The sequence below is a fragment of the Homo sapiens genome, chromosome 5 (genome assembly GCF_000001405.40).
Source record: "Homo sapiens chromosome 5, GRCh38.p14 Primary Assembly".
NCBI lineage: Eukaryota > Metazoa > Chordata > Mammalia > Primates > Hominidae > Homo > Homo sapiens.
This window is the reverse complement of record NC_000005.10, coordinates 168,116,388-168,140,419: the sequence shown is the minus strand read 5'-3', so window position 1 is coordinate 168,140,419 and position 24,032 is coordinate 168,116,388. Positions and strand designations below refer to the sequence as shown.

The 24,032-nt window shown below is 43.2% G+C and overlaps 1 protein-coding gene across 33 annotated transcripts in view, besides 1 other annotated feature; it reads right to left on the bottom strand.

The window, feature by feature from the left end:
• TENM2 (teneurin transmembrane protein 2) overlaps positions 1-24,032 on the bottom strand; it is a 1,285,129-nt gene that overhangs the window by 123,738 nt on the left and 1,137,359 nt on the right. For 16 of the 33 annotated variants that reach the window (NM_001395460.1, XM_017009661.2, XM_017009662.2 and 13 more), the window contains 3 exons: positions 21,934-22,128; positions 15,370-15,570; positions 13,454-13,666 (listed from right to left, as the gene is read on the bottom strand). In NM_001395460.1, the coding sequence (NP_001382389.1) occupies positions 13,454-13,666; positions 15,370-15,570; positions 21,934-22,128 (609 nt within the window). The remainder of the gene's footprint in view (positions 1-13,453; positions 13,667-15,369; positions 15,571-21,933; positions 22,129-24,032) is intronic. The other 17 variants (XM_047417418.1, XM_005265950.3, NM_001122679.2 and 14 more) reach the window with 2 other exon arrangements.
• Positions 14,795-15,994: an enhancer, noted in NCBI's record as "BRD4-independent group 4 enhancer chr5:167551431-167552630 (GRCh37/hg19 assembly coordinates)". NCBI's record gives its function as "activates an origin of replication core promoter dependent on BRD2, P300/CBP, MED14 and CDK7 cofactors, and independent of BRD4, by STARR-seq in HCT116 cells {active_cell/tissue: HCT116}" and the evidence as "EXISTENCE:reporter gene assay evidence [ECO:0000049][PMID:35650434]".

The window sequence follows — 24,032 nt, the reverse complement described above, 5'->3', positions numbered from 1 at the left end:
AAGGGTGGCAGGGGAGGCATTAGTGGGAAATCCTGCCCACGCTTCTTGAATGCTGTATTTGCCAATAGTGTAGATGCTGGATTTAAGCCAATGAGTCCACCTAGCTGCTTTGTGTAAAATACTTTCTGTTGTTGCTCATTGTGTTTGGGGGCAATGGCTACCTGCCTGCTTCACAGGCTTGCTGTGAGGTTGACTGAGGCAACACAAAGTCTTTTGAGCTCCTTGGAGAAAATTCACCATGCAAGTGCAAAGTATCACCATTGTATCATGGTAATGAGACTCCCACCAGCTTAAACCAGTTACCAAGGAGAGATGGGGCATCAAACAAGAGAAGCCAAAGCTGTCCCAGTCTCAATCCAGGCAAATGATGCTTCCTCACTCAATACTAATCCTGCCCTGGAGGTAGGTGTCAGTAGTCACAGATGGGTGGTCCATTTGGCCCCCAGTCTTGTTTGAATGGCCTGCACAACATTTTAATACATTTTTAGTTGCTTGCCAGCATTTGAAAATTGGGAGACCATACATAACAATCCAAATATCTGGCCTCTACTGAAAAATTGGAAATTTGGGGAAGACTAGGCTTGCATTTCTACATGGCCATGTTCAGCTGGAGCTGGGTCATGTCTGCCCTCCATAGGTGGGACATTCACTTTCCAGTTTGTCACCCCTCCCTGGCCTCTTACACCCTGTTGAATGCACCCACTTTACGTCATTCTCGCCTACCCCATGTATGGGAATTTGAGTTTACAACTCTTTCTAGAGGCTCTTCCCTCCCTCCCCTTCCCTGAATCAACACAGATACTTAATTCATAGTGCCCTCATTAACCAAATGGAGGCCCAGTCCCCTCACAGAGGAAAGGCCTGCCCAACCACCTCCTACCAAGGGGAAATGGGAAGAGAACTGGTTTCTCTCACTTCTAGCCTTTGCCAGTAATTCCACCTTAAAAGCTCAAAGTTTTCCTACTTAGAGATGTCCAAGCAGTAATCTAACTAAATTAGATTATAAGCATCTGAAGGTTTTCAAAATAAATAAAATAGATATAGCTAAGAGAAGATGAGATTTCATTAATGAGTGTTATTTAACAGAACAAGTTGTGCCATATACAGAGGATTAAAAGATAAAAAAGGATAGGAGGGAAAATCAAATTTTAATGAGTTGCCACCTTCATTTGATTTAACTAAGTTTCCTCCATTGTGGAAGATATTAACACTTATGAGGGAGTCATTTGTGTGTATCCATACAGTTTGATATTTGACTACTTTCTTTTATGCAATTACATTGTGTTGCAAATGAATTTAAACTACTATTTGAAGTTAAAGGCCTCCATCCTTATATTGACCTCCTTGGGAAGCTTGAGCAAGGACAATGTTGAAAAATTAACCAAACATTATTGATAGAAACAGTGAGAAGGGTGTCTTGGGTTAGAAAACATCAAAGTCTCAAGTGGGCAAAAAGGCAGCTGAGGTCTAAAGTTCCCATGATTACCACCCTCTGCAAACCACTTCTTTCTTGTCCTTGCTGCCTCGGTGATATTCACACAGAGGTGGCTCATGTGTCACACCCAGTACTGTGCTGGCACATGTTAGGCACTCAATGAATGCTTCCCAAATGATTGAATACAGTTATCACTGCCCATCTGGAAACAGATGGAGGGGGTGTAGACCCCAGACATGTTACCATGGATGATGTGTGTGGCTTTCTTATTGATGTTTAGAACACCATGTTCTTAAAACCAGCAAATGGATCCTAAGTGGGCCATTTCCATGTCCCTTCCTGCTTTCCTCTCTCTCCCTGTGCTCCCTGCTGAATGGAATAGAAACCAGCTGTTCCAAGGAACTTGTCTTGGAACAGTGAAATAGCAGGAGGGCCACGAGCACCTGTGTGGACACATGAGGTGTGGCACCCTTGGCTTCTCTTTCTGGAATTTTGGACCCTTTGGGAAATTTTGGGTTGTTTGCTATCTCTACAATTTTCTTAGCCATTCACTCTGTGAAGACACATTTGGGAAACTACAGTAAAGATATGAAAGTGTGGTGTTAATAATTTTTAAGCTAACACTTACAGAGTAGCAAGCATATGTTAAGTGCTCTCCATCAGTGAAATCCTCAATACAGTAGGTCGTAGGTATTATTTATTATTCCCAATTTACAGACGGGAAAAACTGAGGCTTATTGAAGACACATAGCTTGTTAAAGGTCACCCAACTTGCAAGTGATGGAAGGTGGATTTGAAGGCAGTCCTGTTTGATCCCAAATCTCAGGCATTTAATTCTTTTGCTACATAATTCCCCAAACTGCCTCAAACTTGGAATGCATAAAACCAGCCATAGTCAAGCATTGACAAAGAATGTTAATAGCAAAGAGAAAAGATGTTACATTCTATAAACATAACGTGGGAGATGATTGAGAGTTTGGAGTGGGTTTTGTTGTGTATTATGCATTTTAAACTGCTTAATCCTGGGTAGACTGTTGTCTGTGCTAGGCTTCTCTCTAGGATACGATAACACTTCCTGTATCAGACCTCCAGGGAGTAGGTCTGTAAGTGAATAGATACTGATCTTTCTTGGCCCCATTAAATGGAAGCAAAAAGTTAAATCAGTTCATATTCAACATATAGCAAGAAGTTGACAGTAACATGCTTAAGGGACCCAACTTGACTTGCCTGCTTTGCTGGGATTAATAGGAAAAAGCTAGTTTCTCACACTGCCTCCGGTATCTTCCATCTCTTTTCTTATTCACAGGGATTGCAATCATCAGTGACATTTAGGCTTTCTGGGCTCACACACACCTAATATAGGGAAACAATCTCCTTGCCCTGTTGCCAGGATGCTATCTGCAAAGCAGAAGCCACCGTTTTGAGTTTTGTGTCATTAGACAGGATGTGTTTCAGATGCAATAGCATGACCGGTGATTGACAGCTGGCTAACTTGTTGGAATAAAATCAGGTACAAACATTTCCTCTGTGCTTGTGAGGTGGTTATTTTGTAATCTTGGGGACTCCCCCACTCCCTGGCATTGTTTCTAGACACCTAGACAGGGCTGTCTGGCAATCCCTCTTGAAGTTAAAGCATACTTTTTGAAATAATGACATGCAATTCACACTTATCAGAGCTTCTCCCTCTGCTTACAGCTTTGGAAAGATGACCCTTCTGGGCCAACCTCTAACCAACTTCATTGCTAATTTGACCAGGTGCTGTGGTGGCTAAACTTGGAATGTATAGCCCAGGATTCTCAGCTCTTTTAATTCCTCCTGGGCAGCAATTATGTGGGGCTTTCCGTCTCTAGACCATTGGTTAACCCTTTCTTTCTCTGGGAACTGGCAGGACGTACTTTTTGTGATGTTCAGTTTGCACTGCATGGTGCTGGGTCTCATGCATGATTAAATGGAGTGGCCTCAAAGAGCTGTGCTGAAACTGTTTGGAACCTGGAGTCTAGGGGATATGTAAGCAGTCCCCTCTCCATTCCAACTGGGATGCGATTATTATGAAGGAGGGAGATCACAGGGGCTCTTGCATTTGCAGTTGAGCTGGCTCAAAATGAAGGCAACCCTTAACCTAAATGAAGAGAAAAGGATTTTCTTTAAGAGCCGCTTATCTAAATGGTAGGGGTCCTGACTGAGTATAAACTGGGATTCAGAGACTGGCTGAGCTTAAAGAACTTGTAAGCATCCTCCACTACCCTGGGTTGAGAGCCTGTCTAAGGGTGAGGAGAGGTGAGGATACAAAAAGGACTCTGTGGTGTCTGTTCGACAGCTCAGCGCTGGGACAAAACCTTGATGTATGGGAGAGCCACTATTGGCAAAAAGTGAAGGTTTGTCTTCTCAAAGGAACTTTGGACCCGTTGATAAAGCTGGGGAGTGTGGTGTTCTCTCCTTTACTGTGTAAACACAGCAGGACTTCAGTAGCGTGAGCACCAATGGTGCTGCTGGCACGGGGGAACACAACCTTGGCATGGATCCTGGCAGTAGGGGCAGTGCTGTAGGAGTCCCTGTAAGTGTATTTCTCAGGCAGCAGGTTTCAATGAAGGGACTAAGCTTGTAAAATCAGATTGGGTTAAATATGAGCATGCAAGACACTCTTGGAAACTTCTAGAGGCCCTTGGGATGAAAGTGTGGAGTGAGCTTTGCAGTTGGGATGAGCCAAGAAATTGGTGAGGTGATGTGAATGATTCCTTATTTGTGGGACACACTCGTAGGGCTTAGGGTGATTTCAGTCCTATCTGTCTTGGAATAGCATCATGAAGGGCTGGAGTACGTGTCCGTTCTATCTTGAAAACTTCTCACGTCACCTACCAGTTTCATTTTGACTCTTACCCCAGCTCGGTCAGAATATATAAACATCTGCTGAGTTAATCTTCTCACTTGACACATGTTGGTCAAGGGGAGTCAACCACATCATCAGCGATCTCAGAACAGAAAGGAATGCCACCATGGACTATGGAATGAGGCTATTTGTAGAGAATCCCTTGGTAACAGCAATGGGAAAAGACCAGACTCATTCTTTAAGGACCTTAATAATAAAACCCCTGCCCAAAACCCAAAACCAAAAAAACACTGGCTGGTAGCTATTCAGATGTTTCCGGATGCAACTTTGCAGATGTTTCGTCCTATCACTGGGGACCAAACAGGCCTCTCCTTTACTGATTACAATGAAAATATGTTTTTAAAAACGAACACTTTACTTAAAACTAGGGATTTTTTTTTTAATTAGAGGGAAGATTAACTAAATGCATTTTCTCTTGTAATTTAATCCATTCTAATTATCCTGAGACTGTTTATGATGAAATACTTAAATTTCGTGTAGCTGCTATTTTGTGTGGGTTCTTTATTACCCATTAATGGAAAAGTTCAATAATAGCCAACGATGTGGTTACCTTTTGTGGGTCTGATTATAACAATGCATATAAGTGCATGGTGAAAAGGATAAAGAAGCAAGCAATAAACCCCATTTTTGACTGGCAGGTTTTCAAGATGATGGCATTCTATTTTCCAAAGGCAATAACAGCAAGCTTTTAAAGAAGAGCTCGTGAAATAGAATGCTATGAAAAAAGAGGGTTGGTAAAGATTGAACCCAATTAGGCAGGAAACTTGCGAGGAAAAATAAAGTCTGCTGCTTACATGAACATCTGGGATATCTGTGTGGCTGCAGATAACCCAGGAGATGAACCAAAAAATTGCAACGAATCCCCAGATGTTACACATGGGTCATGCTCCAAAGGAGCCAAGAAATTGCAGCGTGGGAGGAATGAGGGTAACTGTGAAGTTTATCAGGCTGAATGGGGACAGAATCAATGAGAGTCTTGATTTTCCAGAAGGCATGCGTGGTACTTGATTGAGTCAAATTTGGGTCTCCTAAATGATTTCTTGATGCTCAGAGCCCATGGAATAGAGAGTCATGAGGAATGAAAAGAAGTAAGAAAAGGAGAGACAGGATGCTGTGTTCTAAGACGCTGGCTAGGCAGCATCCTCAAACTTGAGAAATGCCAGCTTCCTTCTTCTACATACAGTCAATGAGGCCATCTGGTAAAATAAGCAGGTTCCATTCCGGGTAAGAGAGGCAGTTTATGTTTGTCTGTAAGAACCAGAAGCCAGCAGGTTGCTGAACAACCTTTGTTTGGAAAAGTGGGTGGGTGTGATTTTGACATGCTACTAACTTCTTGAGGGATTGGAAGCAAATTTGTGAAAGGGAGGTTGGAAGTGGAAGAAATGTCTAATGAGAATTTTTTTTTCTTTTGAGACAGAGTTTCACTCTTGTTGCCCAGGCTGGAGTGCAATGGCGCAATCTCGGCTCACTGCAACCTCTGCCTCCCGAGTTCAAGTGATTCTCCTGCCTCAGCCTCCTGAGTAGCTAGGATTACAGGTGCTCGCCACCACACCCAGCTAATTTTTTGTATTTTTAGTAGAGATGGGGTTTCACTATGTTGTCCAGGCTGGTCTCGAACTCCTGACCTCAGGCGATCCACCCGCCTCGGCCTCCCAAAGTGCTGGGATTACAGGCATGAGCCACCACACCTGGCAATTTGTCCTGCATTGGTGCTAGACAATGATGGTGATGATGATAACAGCTTACATGTATCTGGCTCTTACTTTATGGTAGGCACTGTGCCAAGTACTTTACATATGTCCCAGTGAGATAGGTGCTATTTGGTATCCCCCATTTTACAGACAAAGAAACTGAGACACATAAAGGTTAGAAAAGCTACCAGGATTTAATCTCAGGTAGAATGACACAAGAGCCTATTTTTTTGTTTTGTTTTGTTTTTTTTTGAGACAGAGTCTCACTCTGTCGCCTAGGCTAGAGTGCAGTGGCATGATCTCAGCTCACTGCAACCTCCACCTCCTGGGTTCGAGGGATTCTCATGGCTCAGCCTCCTGAGTAGCTGGGATTACAGGTGTGCACCACCATACCTGGCTAATTTTTGTATGTTTAGTAGAGGCGGGGTTTCACCATATTGGCCAGGCTGGTCTCAAACTCCTGACCTCAAGTGATCTGCCTGCCCCAGCTTCCCAAAGTGCTGGGATTACAGGCATGAGCCACCACGTCTTGCCACAAAATCCTGTGTTCTTAAAAACTCTGTTATCATGCTTGCATTTCTCTGGATTCAAGTGAAGCAGACGTGGATGGATGAGCCATGTCTTTTCTTTTTATTAAAAAATATAAATGGACGAAGTGGGGCCTGATGATTCAACTTATGCAAGGAAGTTTTTCAATGTACAAAAGATTCCCTAGGTAAACCAGATATAAATTGGAGCTGAGGTGAGCAGACAATCAAACAAACAACAAAAGCTCCATTCACTATCCTCAATAATTCAACAATGCCTCATCAGCTGGGCAGCACTCTGCTGTATCTGTCCCTTGAATGTAAAGTCTTTAGTGTATATTATGGGAGCCTACATTGAAAACCTGCCTTACAGAAGAGAGAAAGGCTTGATTGCATTAGAATAACCCATTCATATGTTTCTGCATCAAAAGTAATGAAATCCTAGAAATGGACAGGTCCTTAGAGATCAGCTCATTCAAATGTGTTCTAAATTCAGTCAATCACACGCTGCATTTATGACATTTGCAATATCTGTACTATTTACTTAATATTTTTCTTTAAATTTACTCAGGCCTAATATCACTACCTACTTTTGCCCCCTCCCTAAGCAATAATAGCTGTATAATCATCAGTTTGATGTGCTAGTTATATTTTTTCCTAATACTGTATCTATTTTAAAAAGCCCTACATGACTATTCAATAAGGTATATTTGTACACCAATGAAAAGCATCTCAAGTTTGTGTATCATGCCCTGGAAGGCAATGATGTGATCCAACCCTTTCATTTGCCACATGGAGAAATTGAGGTCGGGAAGGCTTGGTGACTTGCTCCAGGATATACAAAATGTATATGGTAGAGTCAAAGCTAGAACACAGATGTCCTCCTTCATCAGCCAGTCTACTGTTCATGATACCACAATGAATTGGCTACCAAGTGATAAGAAAGATGTCCATCACAAATATCTAAGGGAGCTCAGCTCTCCAGGAACCACTTTGTTTTCCCTTCTCCTTTGATGGAAAATCTTTAGTGCGTATTGTGAAAGCCCAGAGTCACAGACTTGGAAGGCACGTGGATTCTCTATAAAAGCTCAAGTGCAGAACACTCACTATACATTAGGACAATGCATCCCATGTTTTTCAACAGCTCTTATTACATGGTCCCCTTTCTTTGAGCCTGGAATCTTACTTGTGTTAACTCTCATCCATGAGTTTATGTTGCAAGAGTTCCAAACTGTTCAATTCTTTGCTCTGGTGAAGTCAGGAAGGAATACCTTATATCAAGCTATTGACTCAGCAAGCTTGGCCCCATCACTGTGAGCCACAAGCTAGTCCATCAAACCAGTTCCCCTGAAACAGTAAGGGAACAGCGCAGAGTACGACACAAATCACTGTCTCCCCACAGAGCTAAAACACCAAGAATTCTTCTCCTCTTTTCTTTTTTGATGGGAGCTCATAACATGAGCAGACATTACTAAATCACATAAAAATACAAAAAAATGCTTCCATCTAAACTACAGAATGATGAGTCATAAAGTTAGAATGTAGTTTGTGTCTATCTTGTCTATGTTTCTACTGATGCTGAAAGCCCTTCAACGTCTAGGACAAGAAAGCAAATGCTTCCAGTGATGAGACTCTTGCTGCTTGTAAAGCCGTTATTTTCTTTCCTTTTATGTTTTTGCAGTGATGTGAAAACATGTTTCTGTAAGTCTGTCTCCCAGTCCTTGTTCTGGGATTAGATAGGAAACCTCTGGCAGACTGTCTGACCCAGACTCAAAAAGAACTTCTGGGCATGTGGTGACTCCTGATCTGCAGTAAGGAAGCTCATGTTTTGGCCAAATTATAGGGGGGTGGTGGGGGAGAATCAGCAATGGAACAGCTTTTGCATTCTGTTAAAAGTTTATCCATAATCTTTATCAGTAAAAGGCCATCGCTTTAGGTTTTCACTTAAAATAAAAAAAGGAACTCCAAGGATAGTTCTAATAAGAGCCCCTGGAGGAATAGGTTAATTAACCAATCAGAGAATTAGCTGATTCCACAGGCCTGGTGGTAAGGATGGCTCCACAGTGGCTAATTTCATCTCAACTTGATCTCACTGTAGAGTCATGAAAGCTCAAGTGTTCAAGGACAATAGCCACAAGAAAAAAAAAGTTTTCATAACTTAGAATGAGACTGGAATGAGATTCAGAAGCAGCTGTCCTCAGTCTGAAGTTGGTTAATTCTGACAATCACTTTCTTCTCAACCTGTTCCCTATTGTTCTGAAGCACTCTCCCTCTTGGACTGTGACCCTGTCTACTTCTGATGACAATCACTTAATCAGCACATCGGATCATCGCACGGCTGGTTTTACCTTGGGTAAAGATTCATTTTCCTTATTAACATCACAAGCACCGATTTCTTTCCCCAACCAATTAAAGAGGAAAAATAGAAGGGCCCAGTGCGATACAGGGAAAAGAAAACTGTACTGACTTGTGGCACCTGGGCAGGTCACTCAGCCTCACAAGGTCCTAGGAATCAAGCCCTTATGATTCTGAGATGAAATCGGAGGTTAGGACCACATAGATAAAATACACAAGTTGAAATAACCATTGCAGCCTTTACTCACTACCCAGATATCAAACAGTTCACTCAGGGTTGGGAAGTGCCCAGAGTGGGCAGATTTAGTCTGCGGGTTAGTTTGTATTATTCGGAGCAGATGTCTGGGTAGCCCATGTTCAGGAGATAATTGCAAGAGTCCACAGTTAGCATGTAGCATCCCTCCTTGATTCCCCGGCAATGCAAATGTTGGCTTCTTCTTGCATTTTGCCCAATTGTTCTGCTCATTAACACACGCTAACATCTACTTTACCTCTTCATGAGACGCTGATCTACATTTACTATATATAGTTCTTAGTGATTTTGATCTATTATTACACACATTCTATAGTTCCTCCATGTCCTGGTGTTACAGGCTTTGCATGGCCTTTTGATGTTAGGTACCAGTATTTTTTTTGAGACAGGATCTCGCTCTGTCACTCAGGCTGGAGTGCCATGGTGTGATCTTGGCTCACTGCAATCTCTGCCTCCCTGGGCTCAAGCGATTCTCCCACATCGGCCTCCCAAGTAGCTGGGACTACAGGCACGTACCACCATGCCCAGCTAATTTTTGTAGTGACAGGGTTTCACCATGTTGGTCAGGCTGGTCTCAAACTCCTGATCTCAAGTGGTCCGTCTACCTCAGCCTCCCAAAGTGCTGGGATTACAGGCATGAGCCACTGCACCTGGCCTAGGTCCCAGTATTAACAAGGGGTGATGGTGGTGGTGGTGGCAGATGACAGGAACAACAACCCATTTTAAAATTATGTTTAAAGAATAAACCTCTTCTAGCCACACAATGTGCCGTCTGCGCTAGTCATAAGAGTAAACTGCACGCTATACAAAAAATGCTAATATATTCCAAAGATACACATGAATTGTGGCTGATATGTATTCAAAGTATATTTTTTATCTACACAATTCTGTAGATTTTAGCCATGCCATATATTTAACTTTTAAGGAAAAGGTTATATAACAGTCATTGCTTGGTAGAATCCAGTCTGTCAATAAGTTAGCTCTAACAGTTAACATTGAAGTCTTATACCTTATATTTAAATGTTTAGCAATCTCTACTACATTTTCAAATATAAATAATTTGGTTGCAAATTCCAGAAAGGCATTAACCAAACATGGACTGATCCTGGGGCTTCCACCTGACTAAGTTTTAGAAGTCTGTCCTTGTGTCCTCATCTTTTTTCCCCATTTCTCTTTTTGATCCTTTTAGTACAGTAAATGTAATCCACAAGGACTGATGTGAATTGTTCAGTTGACTATTTGCAATGACCCCAAGAAAACCACCTATGACCTTTTGTAAACAGGTCGCAGACAACCCAAGTGTCCAACACTAACTCCCACAATTCTGCCTTACCCAAAATTTCCCTATGCATTGTTTGCTGACTTGGTACCATGTCATTTTTCTGTATTTTCTATTTTCAAAATATAGCATTTGAGGCTGTGCTTGGAAAGGACCAAAGAGCCCCCATTTCCTCTCTGTCAGTATCCCCAAGGAGGAGAACTGATGCTGGGCTTGTAAATTGTGGCATTTACTTTAAATGAAATGACAGAAGTGTCTGCTCAAACTAGAAGAATAAAACTCCCCAAAGCAGCTCTGGGGGCCGGAGATAGAAAAGCTAAAGATGCAATTATGCATGTATGAACATCTCTCTGGTTTTTGAATGGCAAATCTCACTGATCAAGGTATGCTTGGCTTTGTTTTTGAGAAAACCACAGTGAACATAACTATGAGGAGATGGCACATGTCCTACTAATAAAGACACAGAGCCCTAATTTCTCACAAGAAAAGGCTTTGGTAGTAAAGATCTTTATAACATACAGAGCACAAACTCTAAAGTCACAGGAGATCATCGTTCTGAACAAGAGACTATACTGGACCAGCACTCTCTTCATTTTGGGAGCTTTAGCTGGCATATCAATTTACACTTTCTGAATGTCTCTCAAGAACTCATGTATGTCATCTCACAAAGATGTGAAACCTGTACCAAACACTTCAAGTGGCAGAAACACCTTTTTTTCCAACTTATCTCACCCAAAGGACTAGCTTGACCGAAACATCTATGTTCTCTTGTTGGCCAATTCCTTGCTGTTCTCTGCTGAGACCAAAGTTGTCATCTTCCCATCTCTTTTTCAAGGGCCCCGGAAGCATTTCAGCACATCTACTGTTTTTTCTCCACTCCCACTCTGCGATATCTGGAGTAGACCCCTCAGATCCTTCAAGCTACAGTTGGTGTCCTTTTCTTAATGGGGGTGTGGACCTGCCTTGCTTTTCTCCCCTCTATCCATCAAGATTTGTGCAATTCAGGAGTTAGCCTTTTTTTTTTTTTTTCCCATAACGGGCCACACAAGCAGCTTTGTGGGCCATGCGGTCTCCTAATTACTCAGTGCTGACAGGTGGCATGGAAGCTGGCGAGGCATCAGTGAATGGGTGTGGGTGTCCTGTAATAATACTTTGTTTATGGTCACTGAAATGTGAATTTCGTATCATTGTCACGTGCCAGGAAATAGTTTTCTTTGGATTTGTTTTCAACCCTTAGAAAATGTAAAAACTATTCTTAGCTGGCAAGCCATGGAAAAACAGGCAGCAGGCCAGATTTGGCCCTCTGGCCGTAGTTTGGCGACTCCTGCTCGAATCCATCTGGACTGCCCTCTTGTGAGCTATTTCCAAAGTAAAGACAGATTGTAGGTAGGAGAGAGCCAGCAGGCATCATTGTGGAAACACTAACCCTGCCCCTCTGTCCCCCAGATGTGGGAAGGGGGAGCAAAGGGGAGGTGAGGTTGGATTGTGTGAATTAAAAGAAAGTAGGATTATCCACCTCAACGCTGATGATTGGCAAGAGCTTTTGAGGGGAGGATTTGGGGCAATGGAGATATGGGGAGGGGAATCTTCATGTAAATAACACCAGGCATGCAATAGTACAGCAAAAGGAATGCCCCTGATGAATGGAAGCTATTGTAAGAACTGTCTCAGTATAGGGCTGTGCACAGCCGTCCCCTGAAAGTCTTTTGAATTATTCCTCAGACTCTGCAGGGAACTGAGGATAAAAGCGGCTGCAGGGGAGCAAGACCTGGAGCGTCATCGAGAGATTGCAAAAACAATTCACTGCCAACAGACTGTCCCAGCAGGGTCCCAGTGCTATGGTCGTGGCCCTGATTGGCATGCTGCCCCTCGGATGCCCAATCAGATGGAACCGGAAGAAATCGAATACAGAGTCAGTCCACTTTATCTCTGTATAACCACCCAAATGAACAGCATGGGAAATTGAGTCTGATCTCATGAATCAGCCCTGCGCAAGCTCCTAGCCCTGTCTCTCACTCCAGGTGGCCCATCTGTGACTGGGGTTGTTAGGCAGGGACAGAGGGGAGGGTCTCAAACTTGATGGCTGGGATCAAAGGTAACTTCAAGGGGCCAAACTGTAGTTTGGCTGGAAACGTCTTTGAGAATTTCCATGCAGGCAAGTAGATTAACCAGCTTAGTATAAAAATGGATCCTAGGCTTGATCTAATTAAATAACAAAAGTAAAAACCGGAGGTAAAATGATGCTCAAGTTGACAACTTTGTCATCCCAACTGTCTGAGAGATGTGCAAAGCCAAACAGCATTGGCTCCCAGCTTCTCTACCAAAGGGATGATTAGGTACGTTTAATCCAGTATAGTCCTACCCTAAACCACAACTGTGCCGAAAAAGAGAGAAAAATAAAAATGAAGAAACTCCAAAACTATTTCTTCTTAACAAAGAAAATGACCTTTAAATTATCCTTGGTCCAGAAGCTTTTATAGAGAGGTGGCTGAGTGAGAATAAAATGGGACCAGAGGAGGAGACATGTAATGACGGTGGTGGTGATGGGGAATCTCAGGACCTTACCGTGGTACCTGCTACGGAGGGAACCTGAGAGTCCTGCCTGCGTCTAACCTGACCTAAAATTAGTGAGTTCACCTTGTTGCCAGCAAGCAGGGATCCAGTGATCCAGCCAGCTGAGAGAGGATTTAAAAAGGGGAGAGTTGCAGACCACAGTGATTTGAGGTGCTTGCAACCCCCAGACACCGACAGTTTCCCATGCATGTGCATTTCTCCCTCCCTGAGATTGCAAGTTTGGAGGGGTTTTCTTATCTGCTCTGGTCCCTTTCCTTTCAACTCGGAATCCTGGAAAGAAGGAAAAGCCCTTCCCAATTAGGGACCTCATTTTTCTCCTTCCCTATCCCCTGGGAGATTTGGAGGGGCAGCAGGAAATGTGGGAGAGCACTTGTGTCCCTGAAGGAACAGCCAGTTGCCATGCGCGACCATCACTATAGATCTACAATTTATGAAAATAAAGCAATATGTGCCTGTTTCGGTGCCTGCCGTTTGCCTACCAATGGTGCAGTGTTCACCATTCCAGCCCTCTCGGCATTCACATTTGCCATCTTTACAGGTCCCGTGCTCAATGCAGCGGGGGTGGCACACGCGCTGGTCACACGCTGCGCCTGTCCAGCCCTCTTCACAGCGGCAGGCTCCCCCGATGCAGACGCCGTGAGTGCCACAGTCTACTGAGCACACTTCTGGAAGAAAAACAATGATTACAGCTCAACACCACAGCTGGTGAAACCTTCCATGGAGTCCAGACCACGCACATGGCCCAGACCCCTGGAGCAGGCCCCGAGGCCCAGCAGCTCTGTCATCTTTGGAGGCTTGTCTCTCCTTGGCTGGGTATCAATTCATTGTTAGATCTTTTTTTCTAGAGAAGTGACTCTCAAAGTGTGGCCCCTGGACCAACAGCATCAGTATCACCTGGGAACTCGTTAGAAATGTAGACTCTTGTGCCCTCGTTGGACCAAGTGAATTAGAAGATCTGGGAATGGGACTCAGAGATTTTGTTGGAACAAGTCCTCCAGGTGGTTTTGATACTCGCTAGAATGTGAGAACCACTCTTCTAGAGATTGAGACCACTCCAACCAGTTTGGCAAAGCTAACCGGGAAGTACCCACCTGAAAAGATCCATGTACGGATCCTGACTCTCTAGTCAGCTGGGATTCCTCCCCCACTGACAGCCTGAACTGACCAAGCACAAGAGGTCAGTTGGGGACCCCGCTGCTCCATTCCCATGATGACTGCAGATACCCCGTTACCCAGATTGGTACCTTGGCGGTGATAATGACCGCTGTAATTGTGCTGCATTTACACAGCTTCTTTCTCAAAGGAGCTCAAAGTCTTTTGTGCTTGGGGAGGAGGCAGACAGACAGATATGCACTCTCTGGTATTCCAGACCTCTCACGCGAGGACAAGCACGTGCCAGACATTCATCCTTTCATCAGTCTATTGAGGGAGGCGTGGCTTGGCATGCCAGGTGAAGGAAGACCAGGCCGGGGAGTGGGGCCAGTGACTCACTCAAAGTCACACAGCATATCTGTAGCATAACTGGGTTTTGGATCTAGGACCCCTGCCTCCTCCCATCATCTGCACGGCCTTGCCAGGACCACCAGCAACAGAGTTGAAGCCAGAGTCAAGTGGGCTGAGAAGACATTCCAAAATAGCCCATTTTAACTGACTCTTCTTTTTTTTTTTCTTTTTGGAATGAAATATTCATTTCTTTCCCATTGTAGGCAAAGCTTCACGTCTATTCCCTTCCTGATTGCCATGGCAATCTGACAGCTGTCTCACTACCCAGAGGAAGGGGGCGGAATGATCGCTTGCTTGGATAGGGACTTGTCAGTGTGAACAGAACCTTTCTCAGGAAGGTTGGGACTGGCTTGAACTGTTGAACTGTTCCATTTTTAAGGTCACTCTGGAGGGAAGACACATACTCTAAATTTTAGGAAAATGAAGTGTACAGCGCGACTTCATTATTTTCCTGTCACTGGAGTATTACAGAGCTGTAGAACATGTTCACGCAGCACCCCGAGGGAGCCCCTTTTCTGTTTTATGGGATGTTCCATTTAGTTTGTCTGGGGCTGAAATGTTCTGTTTTGTTTTCTGGTACCTTTAGGGAATGTACATAAGAAAACCTATAATGCAAATGGAAGCATCCCTCCTGGGCTCCTCATGCATTTGCGGTGATGGTACCAACCCAGTGCTTTTTTGTTTGTTTCTCAAAGATCACAGACTCCACGATTGAGGAGAAGAGAATGAGAAAGACACAATGTGATTCATCAAAGTCCCCTTATCCCCAGCTAAGTATTAAGAGTAGATTCCCATCCATCTGAGAATGGGATGGAACACAGGGCAGGAGTGTTGGAGAGAGGAAGGAGAAAACCTTGTGGCTTACCAACAGAGCAGTCGGGACCCATCCAGTTGGGATCGCAGCTGCAGAGGCCCGTGTCAGGCAGGTACGTGCCATGCCCACTGCACTGGTCTGGGCACTGGACCCTCGCCAGCTCACAGTTCAGACCACCCCAGCCAGGGCTGCACAGGCATTCTCCATTCACACAGACTCCGTGGCTGGAGCAGGTGGGATCCAAGCAATCAACTGAAAAAAACAAAAACAAAAACCAAAGAATAAAAGTATTAATCACCCATGGAGGATGGACCATGAGACATGGGCTTGCTGCTGAATGGACCAGTGGGTCACCAGTTCCCATCCACTTGCTAGCAAATGGAGTAGCCCAAGAAATACTTATGTGGTCACCTGAAGACACCCATAAAAAGTAAAAGCCTTCTTATTTGTCAAACACCAAATCTCAAACTTGAAGAAGATACAAGAGAAACGAAAAGGGGATTTCTCAAGCAGCATTAGAAGTCAGATATAGAAGGATGCCACTCCACCTTTAGTATCTTGTGCTTATAAAGATTAGGACCTTGACTGAATCATATCAGAGCATCTGCGATAGGAATGTGAATATATGCCATGTTTCTACATGTGTCGTCAAACTGGATTGCCCCTCACTATAAGAGAGAAAAGTAGAGAGGCTCATTGTAACTTCACTAATACTTGACTTCAAAAGGTAACAAAAGATGAAAAGGAAAACCAATGAAACTTATGAGTCACTTTCCTAATGAGGTTTCACTTAGGCTAAGTCTAAAATTAGTATCCATTCTCTGAGCACACACCCACTGAAGGAGTTAGTAAATGTGCAGTATAGAAGAGGCGAAGTTGGGTGTGAAAATGATCCAAAAGGGATCACCTTCCTACAGGTAATCACCAGGGGACTGGATGGCTATCTCTGGCTGAGGCACTGACCTTCTACCAGTCAATCAGATGAGCTGATAGCCAGAGTCCAGTCATTGTGGTTCTTGCCTGTTTCACTGTCTGATTGTTTGGCCATCTTAATAGAGTGGATATACATCCAGTACGTAACTTGAATAAACTCAGAGTGAGGAGAGGAGCGAGCTGCAAAGGCCAGTTCTTGAGGACAGGACTTTTTGCATGAGAATATGATATCAAACCTGGGACCTCCATTCAATCTAAGGGTTGAATAAATAGGGCCTTTTAGAGGAAGCCCAGCTTTCTTATGTATTCCTATGTATTCTCAGGAAATGATGCAATGTCATTTGGAGAAGAGGGTTCTTTGTGTAATATACGGTTTGAATGAGAAATGGTGGTCTAGCACAGGGCTCAGATATGGCTTTGTGGATCAGACAAATGTGGATGTATCATCACCTTACTTGATTAAGACATATTTCTCCCGTTTTCACGGCTTCCAAATCAGGCCTGTTGGCCCAGATTAAAGGATTGCTTCTTCTATCACCTGGGGGCACAGCTAGCTTGAGACCACTTTGAATTCTATTCTTGAAGTTTTTATGGACCACGCTGACAGTGTTATTAAATCCTTCCTGTGTATGCGTACCGTCTTATGGTTTAAATTCTCAGAAAATTTTGTTTTCTCTCCTTCCACAATGCCAAGATTGAAATATGTAAGACTTCTGGTCTCTAAATAATTCACTGTTATATTCAGATGATAATTCCTCAGGGTCTCAGCTTTCTGTAGGATCTCCTAAGACATTTTTTATGCTGAGTGTCTTTTTTTCTTTCCCTATGGGGCACAAAATAATGCCTTTTTTGTTTGTTTGTTTGTTTTCTGAGACAGGGTCTTGCTCTGTCACCCAGGCTAGAATGCAGTGGTATGATCATAGCTCATTGTAGTCTCGAACACCTGAGCTCAAGTGATCCTACTGCCTTAGTCTGCCAACTAGTTAGGACCACGGACACACATTGCCATGTCCAGCTATGTTTTTTTTTTTTTCTCTAGAAATGGGGTCTTGCTATGTTGCCCAGGCTAGTTGTGAACTCCTGGGCTCAAGCAATCCTCCTATCTCAGCCTCCCAAAGTGCTGGGATTACTGGTGTGAGCCACCATGCCCAGCCATTGGTGTATTTTAATACTGATGACGTATTGGCTCTAAATATGACATTATTTAGAGTATCCATGCCACAAATTAACTAGTCCTGAGGGACAACAGACTTGAGAAATTTGGACTTACTGGAAATCACAATATTCCATGAAGTTTCCAAAGGGCAGCCCTCCCTTGAGGCAAAAATAATAATTTTCAGTGGTAAGAGATATTTCTCACGATCCCATTTGGATATTCTCAGGAAGGTATTATATATGGAAGTCATTTCAAAACCGTTTCAGGCATGGGGAAAAAACAGTGATTAAAAAAAAATCAGGGGTACACTCCCCCAAAGGTGAATTTTGGTTGCTTATTATTAGTTGGAGATATTTATGATGATGTTACATAATCTTGTTATTATCACTTTACAGTTGAATTCATTGTCTCGGGGAGTATAACTCCTGATGACATAAGCCCATTTGATACCTTCAGATTTGCTCCATTTAGGGTGGTGGAGCACATCTGAACGTAAACTTGAGCTGAAAGCATCGAACACATAGAAGGCAAAGGGCGGGCCAGGCGTGGTGACTCACACTTGTAATCCCAGCACTTTGGGAGGCCGAGGTGGGTGGATCACGAGGTCAGGAGACCGAGACCATCCTGGCTAACACGGTGAAACTCTGTCTCTACTAAAAATACAAAAAATTAGCCAGGCGTGGTGGCCGGTGCCTGTAGTCCCAGCTACTTGGGAGGCTGAGGCAGGAGTATGGTGTGAACCCGGGAGGCGGAGCTTGCAGTGAGCCGAGATTGCGCCACTGCACCCCAGCCTGGGTGACAGAGCGAGACTCCGTCTCAAAAAACAAAACAAAACAAAAAAGACAAAGGTCTGTGCAGGGCCTTTGGTGTCTCATGCCTAGCACAGGTAAGGGAATATACCAGGTGTTCAATACACAGTTGCTGCAAGAATGAAGGACAGACTGTGCTATAAGCATTTGTCATTGATGGGACACACTTCCTGTGTAGAGAAAGGACCGATAGGAAGCAGAAATTGTGCTAACAACTTCTTTCTTGCTTTTGAAAAAAAATCGTATTTGGGGATCTGTAAATTATGAACAAATTCATTCAGAACCCATCATGTTTATATTGTTCCAATAAAGGAAATTCTGAAATTCTAATTTTTCACTCTGCCCCCATTTCTAGTAAGGAAAAATCAAAATATACACAAAAATATCTTGTGGCTTATTGCTTCAAAAATTGTTCTTAACCTATAATTAGCCATTTAAAATGTTTGGTGAGGTGCCAGCAGCTAGGAGCTTTCAAAAAAAAAAAATCACAATCTTTTTCTTAGAAGGATGAAATAATAAAAAGTAATACACTAAAAAAATGAAAATGGCATTTTTCTTCCAGATAAATTAGCTCTCTCTTCTCTATCCTGAATTATAGTATAAAGGAAGGAGGAAAATCCACAGAGATTTATTAGCGCCGGTACTAGAATGCCATCAAAAAAACCATTTATTGTATCTAAAAATATGAGCTAACCCTTTCTCTGGTCAGTGATACCAGTAAATATGCCCTTTGTGCTATATAATTACAGCAGTGGATGGAATAACTAAATTCAAACTTCAAGAGGAGCAGTTTTACTATGAATTTTAAATTTGGTTCCGATTTCCTAAGATGCTCTTGTGGCCACGTCCTTAGAGCCTTTAGCAGGCAGGAGGGACTATGGCATTTTACGAAGCTTTATAAATAGAAACAGTGTTACACTTAAAAGGGGACAGTGGCCTTTACCAGCTAAGTACCATGTGCCTCGAAACATCAGCCCCCTGGCAGCTGAAATCATTAGAACTCATTTAGTCTTGGGCCCTCTGTAGGTTTGACAAAAAAGGGTTGTGAATGCAATTTCTATCCCTAAGGATAAAAAAGGAGGTCAAGGAGTTTTACAAACAATATGTACTATAAGCCCCTGAAGAACCATGAATTACATTTATGAAGTTAAATGTCATTGAAAAATGACTCAACCATGAAACTGACATGAAAACATGGCTGACTTAAACTAATATGTCAACTCCTCTCTCATCACCTTCCCACTCCCCTACACATCATTGAATGAAACCTCACGAATACATCCTTTCATTTTCTTGGGCAAATTTGTTAATAGTACAACCATGTTTATGCAGGAAAAACGAAGGGATGGCAACTATTGATTTCATTGCCATGGCCATTTCAGGTAAATTGTTTGAACGTTATGACTATGACGAATATCAGAAATAAAAAAGCTAAATGGAAGAAAAAGTGCTGATCCAGACTTTCTGATTCCATTTCCTATTTTGAAAACAGCATATGAATCACCTCGGTTCATTCTTTTTGGGTAGCAGAAATCAACGGAGGAGATTTCATCCTTTCATAATGATTCACGTGGCTTGTTTGGTTGGATGGTTAATTCACTCTGAACATTTAAATAAGACTGGGTGGGATAGTGAGAAAGTTGAGAAATCACTTGAGATTCCATGCATACAGCTGTGTATAATCTTACTGGAGAGAAAAAATTCGAAGACTGGCAATGTTGTTGCCCTAGCACTTTCCTTTCTCCAAATGATGCATGCAAAAGGTCGTTTTAACCTTTCTTGTCGTATTATTGGCCTCTCTTATGTTTTCAGCGAATGCAGCTTTGCCTCCTGCAATCCATTTATCTTTAAGAACTTTAACCTTTCAAGCAGGGTTATTAAATCAGTATTTCCTCCATCCAAACTCCCAATTCTTTATGATGCAGACATAGGGAGGCTACCTTTTATAATAGAGGAAAAATTATATAGAGAACTGAGCAAGTGAAGATCTGGGGGTCAGACTTCTGGTCCCCATTAAGGGCATTACTGCTGATATATTGAAAAATCTTAGAGGAATAATGTTATGGAAGCTGACTTTTGGTAGCCATAGTTCTAAAAACGATGAAATGCGGGGTTTCACAAGGGAACCCTATGTGGGTGTATCTAAGTACAAAGCACTGTCATTACTTTGTGGTGAGAGCTGTGATGATTGGTTATTTTGTATAGAACTCTGGAGATCCATTGGTTGTTGGGATGAAAGAATGAATCCATTAGCATCTGAGAACCTCATAAAACCTGAGATCCCTTGTTAGCCTGGCCATGAGGAACACAGAATGCATATGGCATCCAACAGGATCTTTTCTATGGGGATATCTTGGGTGGTTACATCAAGTTCATGCAGAATAGGCAGGGGCTTCACTTTTTCCCCTTAGTTTGTTGGGCAAGTTGACACTTCTATTTCTGTTGGGGACATGGGAGGGAAAAGGGCTGTTTGAGTTGTGTGAGGGCATTTCACTGGGAGATGGACTTAGAGAAAAGGAGCCTCAGCTGGAAGACAATGATGAAGCCAATTCAGAGATTGGGGAATGGGCAAGGGGCTGAGAGGGTCTATGGTCTTACCTTCCTACCAGCTGTGGCCAATTCTTTATATGGTGACAAGTAATCAAATGGCAACCAGAGACCATATTCTGCAAGGCCAAATACAGAGCAGGAAGGCTGACAGGCAGCATAGCTTTCTCTTGCCTTATAGCTACTGCAAGTCAGTCCCAACATATTGGCACAAAATAATTTATCTGAAATAACTGATCAAGGTAACTAGGAGTAGTTACAGCTGCTTTTGGATCCCCTCCAGAGAGGTGCTCTTTCTCCCTGTTCCTGTATCCCCTCTTCTATGTCCCCCTCTCCTGATCTCCAAGCCTGATCTCTGACCATATTGTCAGATTAGATTCAGTTTATTATATCCCTGATTTTCACCCATGTGTGTGAAAGGCCCTTACGTGTCTGCCAGGATGAGATTTTCAGGATCCATCAAATCCCGTCCCTCTTGCTGCATCCTCACTCTCCTCTAGTTTTGTGCAATTGTAAGTAACCAAGCTAATTTGCCCTACATGGTGTTTCTAAATGACATAAAAAACCTACAGTCTTTCAAGCCTGACTGCTGTCTATTGATATTAATTTTTGCTGAAATATTTACACAGACATACACGGGCCTTAGATTACCAGGAAGAGTTAGTAACAACAACAATAACAACAAACAGCTTTTTGTTTGGAAGGGAGGCAAGGGGCTTAGGAATTCTTGTTTCTTTTCTCTGAATAGCTTTAGTAATTCCCAATTACTAAATAAAGCAGGAGAAAAGAGGAAGAAAGATAGGGCGAGGGAAAGGAACAAAAGAGGAAAAGAAAGAGAAGGAAGGGGAGGAGGAGTAGAAGGAAAGAGAAGACAGAAAGACAAAGGCAGAGAGAGCAATTTAAAGAGAAAAACAAAGGTGAAAGAGAAAAGGAATCAATTTCTACAAAGGAGAGTAAAACAAAACGTTTCTTCCAGAACCATCTCCATAGGCTTTTCTTGTTCTACAACCAAAGAAATTTATCAAAGCAAAGGAGTTTGAAGTTGTTTTGTGCAAAATGTTGAAACTTCTCTTGCAAAACACGCAGCCCAGGACTGGGCTCATTAGCAAAGGTCAGGCCCTGCAAACGCCTCCCTCCACTGCTGCCTAGCCCCGGGGCCGGCGGGCTTACCTTCCTCACAGTGCTCGCCTTTGTAGCCAGCAGAGCAGACACAGTTCCCATCAATGCAGGAGCCGTGGCCCCCGCAGGAAGGATCGATGCACTGATTCATGGGCACGTCGCACTCTGCACCTTTCCAGCCGCTGTAGCACTGGCACGTCCCTTTAGAATATTGTCCATTCCCACTGCACAGGACAGGGCAGGCAGCTGCACAAACCAAAGACAGAGCACTAGGTCACGAAGGGCCAGCATCCGAGGGGCTATGGCAGTCTAAGGAGGTAGAGCTGTCTGGCCTTGGGGCTTGGCTTACAGTGTTCTAGGCTGGGGACTCTGGCTGTGCAGGTGCAGAACCATTGCCAGATAAACAACACAAGTGCTACTGATAACAGCAGCTACCACCAATTAAATGCTTGTTATGTGCTGGGCACGGTATAGAAAGAAGGCTTTATGTGCAATTCATGACTTCATCATCGTAATCACCCTATGAGGTGGAGGCTACAGTCATGGTCCCCATTTTTGCAGGTGAGGCTCAGACAGGGGAAGTGACGTGTCCAGTCACACAGCCCACAAGCAGGGGAGCCCGGCTGGGAACCAGGTTGGCCCAACTTTGAAGTGGTACCCTTCACTAAGCGACACTGACGTCCTTATGGTTGTTCTGTTGTTGGTATTGGAGATCAGAATCCATTTTGCTGATTATTTTACCCTCAGATCAGTCGACTCTTATTCCTAATAAGTTTATGCCTATTAAAAAGGAAGTGGGGATGAGACACAGCTGAGCCACTGAAAGTCTCACTGCCTCAGTTTTATCTATACCATGAAGAAATGAAGTAGTCCCCCTGTATCCGCGGTTTCACTTTCAGTTTCAGTTACCCATGGTCAACTGCTGTCTGAAAATAGGTGAATATGGTACAATAAGGAATTTAGAGAAATTACATCCACATAATTTATGTTACAGCTACTGCTTTAATTGTTCTATTTTATTATTATTGTTAATCTCTTACTGGGCCTAACTGATAAATTAACCTTTGTCCTAGATATGCATGTGTAGGGAAAACATGGTATGTGTAGGGTTTGTACCATTTGTGGTTTCAGGTACACACAGGGGGTCTTGGAATGTATCCCCTGAGGATAAGGAGGGACTACTGTCATTGTGCCTCCTTCAAAGTGTAACATGTGTAATAAAGCATAACGATTAAATATGCTTGACTTATTAGAAAAAAAAGAAAAGGGAGCAGGCAGGCTGAAGGCATGAAATTTCTAGTAGTTCGCCCATCAGCTGTACCCTCTTCCATCTGTTGGTGAGAAGAAGGTTGGAAAATCAGTGGGGATTGTCTGGGAGGAGATTACCTACAGCTTTAATCAGTTTGGCCTCAAATGTGCCAATTCCCACCTTTCAGAGTTCATCAAGAATGGGATTTCAGTGGTCGGTCTCCTTCAGGTCTTGGACTTCTCATTTCCGCATCAGTTTGTAAAGAGCCTAACTTTCCAACCTGCCTTCAAATTTGGGCCTAAAATCCTCCGGCTATGGAAGTGGCATTAGAGGCCTTCAGAAATGACGGATGCAGGTGTTTCAGTGACTCCTGGTGTTATCCATGGTTTGGAATGCACAGGTTCCGAGAATTCTGCATGTGTGTGTACACACATCTACAACCCGGGTGAGCGCCCTGTGCCACTCAGCGATGGCATACCTAATCATGTCACTTCCTAGTCACCTGCCCCACCCAGCCTCATGAATCCCCTTTTGTTGTCATGTTTCTATGTAGTTTTTATGGTAATTAACTTTCCTCTGTGCGTGTCTAATTTCCCAAAGATATATAGTCAGCTATTCAAGACAGGGACTATGTTTATCATTGTTGATTTCCTTCCATTGCTACGTTTATCAATGGTGGCTTGATTAAGTAAACATTTCTCCTGTGTTCCTGATATTCAGAGATTTCCCAGTGGTGGGGGGTTGCGGGCAAGCACTAAATGGCCATTTATGAAAGACGTGGGAAGAACAGTCCCTGGAGTGAATCTCATGCTGTAAACACAATGCCTTTTTCTGGGGAAGTGCATGTTTTACCTTAATTGCAAACTGATTTGAAATGTAAGTATCTCAATAGTTGACATAC